The 2,941-nt window shown below is 39.1% G+C and overlaps 1 annotated feature.

The window, feature by feature from the left end:
- Positions 632–1,133: an enhancer, noted in NCBI's record as "H3K4me1 hESC enhancer chr7:91302583-91303084 (GRCh37/hg19 assembly coordinates)". NCBI's record gives its function as "activates a minimal SCP1, AML or CMV promoter by ChIP-STARR-seq in naive H9 embryonic stem cells {active_cell/tissue: H9 hESC(naive)}" and the evidence as "EXISTENCE:reporter gene assay evidence [ECO:0000049][PMID:30033119]".

Below are 2,941 nucleotides of genomic sequence, written 5' to 3'. Positions count from 1 at the left end.
ATATAGAGCCTGTGATGTAACTTTTACAGTAAAATGTGACTGAGTAATTGTTCAAATAAATAGTGTCCCTTTTCTGGATGGTCTTGGAGGACCCCTTTAGATCATTTCAAATCTTCTGATAAGTTTTGTAAGCTGGTGACTAATGTTATCATCCTCCCCTTAAAAGGGAGAACTTAGTTTCAGGGTGAGCATGGCCCTTTCCCTCTATTTTAGCAAGTATATAAAAATAATTGAATTTTCATAATTTTTTATTATTTTGAGGAACTCAGGCTAATTGCTGGAATAACCCTCTAAGTTAAACCATCTATTTGATGCATTTACTGAAATGTAAGGACTGAACAATTCAAGAATCTTAACTTGTCATTTTGGTAGCATTGCTCACTGAAAAACAAAGAATTATTTGCTAATGAGGAACATTTATTTTTGTTGATTGTTTTCAGTGCAGACTTTTTTTAAGGGCAGGCAGAGATTGGGAATACCACTGACTAGACACAGGAAATGCTCTTTCATTTGCACATCACAAATACATTTTTTTTTTTTTTTGAGATGGAGTCTTGCTCTGTCCCTCAGGCTGGAGTGCAGTGGCGCAATCTCGGCTCACTGCAAGCTCTGCCTCCCGGGTTCACGCCATTCTCCTGCCTCAGCCTCCTCAGTAGCTGGGATTACAGGCGCCCGCCACCACGCCTGGCAAATTTTTTTGTATTTTTTAGTAGAGACGGGGTTTCACTGTGTTAGCCAGGATGGTCTCGATCTCCTGACCTGGTGATCCACCTGCCTTGGCCTCCCGAAGTGCTGGGATTACAGGCGTGAGCCACTGCGCTCGACCCACACATACATTTTATGATAATCTGGCTGTATAAGAAAAGATTTATGAATTCAAAAAGGGTCTTTATACAACATTTCTGAGTGTGTTATATATAGTATTGTAGTCCTCTTTTTAAGTGACCACAGCATACAATACAGTAAGCCTAATAAATTATAGGAATACTTGATGTTAGCCATTCTCTATCCTCAAAATTAAAGTGCCGTGTGTTAGACGGTGAGGAATCAAAGTGCTATCCAGCCTTATTAGGCGATAAAAGAGGGCAAAGCCACAAAGATAGAAGCAGTGGGGGTAAAGTTGGGGACTACGGGAAAAATTCCATGGCTCAAGAAGGGTAGAAGAAAACTAGGGTAGCCAATAGCAGAGAAAAGTTCCTTGGTTGCTGCTACACGGAAAATGTGAACTGTTAAGAGATGCTATATCATCAGTTAGTGTTCAATTGTTTGATTTCAATGACTAGTATTTTAATTGACTTAGATAAAAAATGTTCAGACTCGCATTTAAAAATATTCATTCATTTGTTCATTCTTTAGAGACAAGGTCTTGCTCTGTCACCCAGGCTGGAGTGCAGTGGCACAATCATAACTCACTGTAGCCTGAAACTCTTAGATCCTCCAGCCCCAGCTGCCCAAGTAGCTTAGGACTGCAGGCATTCACCACCATACCCAGCTAATCTTTAAATTTTTTGTAGAGATGGGTCTTATTCTGTTGCCCAGGCTGGTCTTCAACTCCTGGCCTCAAGCAGTTCTCCTGCCTTAGCCTCCCAAAGTGCTGGGATTACAAGCATGAGCTACCATGCCTGGCCCAGACTGGCATATTGTTTCTCCTATCCCCTGACATTTATGATAAAAAGCAATGGTAAGTTAGTAAGAAAATAATTTTAGAGATAACTTTATGAAAAATTTAAAAAGATTCACCTGCATAGTCTTTAGAAATACTCATTTAAGTATCAGATTTTATTTTGAATCTACATATTATGTTTTATTATTCAAAATTTTTTTATGTTTGATTAATTTGCTTGAATAAATGCTTGATCAGTGAATAAAAATATCCTATTTTGGCAGATTGGGCAGAATAAATGATAACAAATCTTGATTTCGCAAGGATAACATTTTATGGCTGTGAACAAGATAGCTGTCTTCTAAGAATCATTGTTTTATATTGGTCTTCTTATTGGTAGCTATCACTTATTTGGTGTTTGCTCTATGCATAGCATACTATAAACATTATTTTATGAAATCATAATAACTCACAGAGGCTCACAGAGTTTAGGTAAATGCCACAGTTATATTGTAAGTAAGAGGCAGAGTGGATTATGACCAGGTAGGCCTGGCACCATATTCTATGTTCATTATCACTATAGTACTCTCTGTCTACCAATTTTCATTGTAGACATATTCTTGAAGTCTTCTACTACTTTTCTTTATGATGCTTTGGCTACATGTCAGGTGCTAATGTTGAAACAAGCAGCATGTTTTCTTCTTGTCTTCCTTGAAAGTCCTCTTGACTGTCCTGTATTTGGCAGTACCAACTGGAGTTTGTTCTTGGAGTCCCTGAGGAGGCTGTGATGAGAACTCTGTTGAAAGGTCTTGGGTATATTCTCAGCCTCTGCCTTCTGACTTTGTAATAGTGTCTGGAAGGGGTAGCAGCATCTCAGGGTCATCCCTGCTGGAGAGAGGTATTCTGAATGGAGTAGAATTGAGGAGCCTTCTCTCCCACATCCTTCACCTTGCTGGCTGGCATAGTTTTCTCTGAGCCTTGGAAATCCCAGAACAATCTTGTTTAGCTGGCTGCCAGAAGCATTCCAGATGAAGGAGTATGCAGAATGTTTGAATTACATAGTAGGGATGGGAGAAAGAGAAATCCCTGCTCTAACCTTGAGCCATGGGACAGTTACACACCATAAGAATTGCCCACAAGGTAAAGGAACAGAAAAAAAAACACCTCTTTGAGGGTTTTTCCATTTTGTGGAGACATACTCTCTACCCCTTGTTTCTTTTTATAAGGAGATAATAAGTTGGGATGGAGGCTTGTAAAAAAATCCTTGGCAATGTGGCTGGCATATGCTTTGGAATCTGGAGAAATCTTGCATAATAAAGTTAATTTTTATGGCATAAT

This window comes from Homo sapiens, chromosome 7 (genome assembly GCF_000001405.40).
Source record: "Homo sapiens chromosome 7, GRCh38.p14 Primary Assembly".
Taxonomy (NCBI): Eukaryota; Metazoa; Chordata; class Mammalia; order Primates; family Hominidae; genus Homo; species Homo sapiens.
This window is presented reverse-complemented; position numbering and strand designations above follow the sequence as displayed.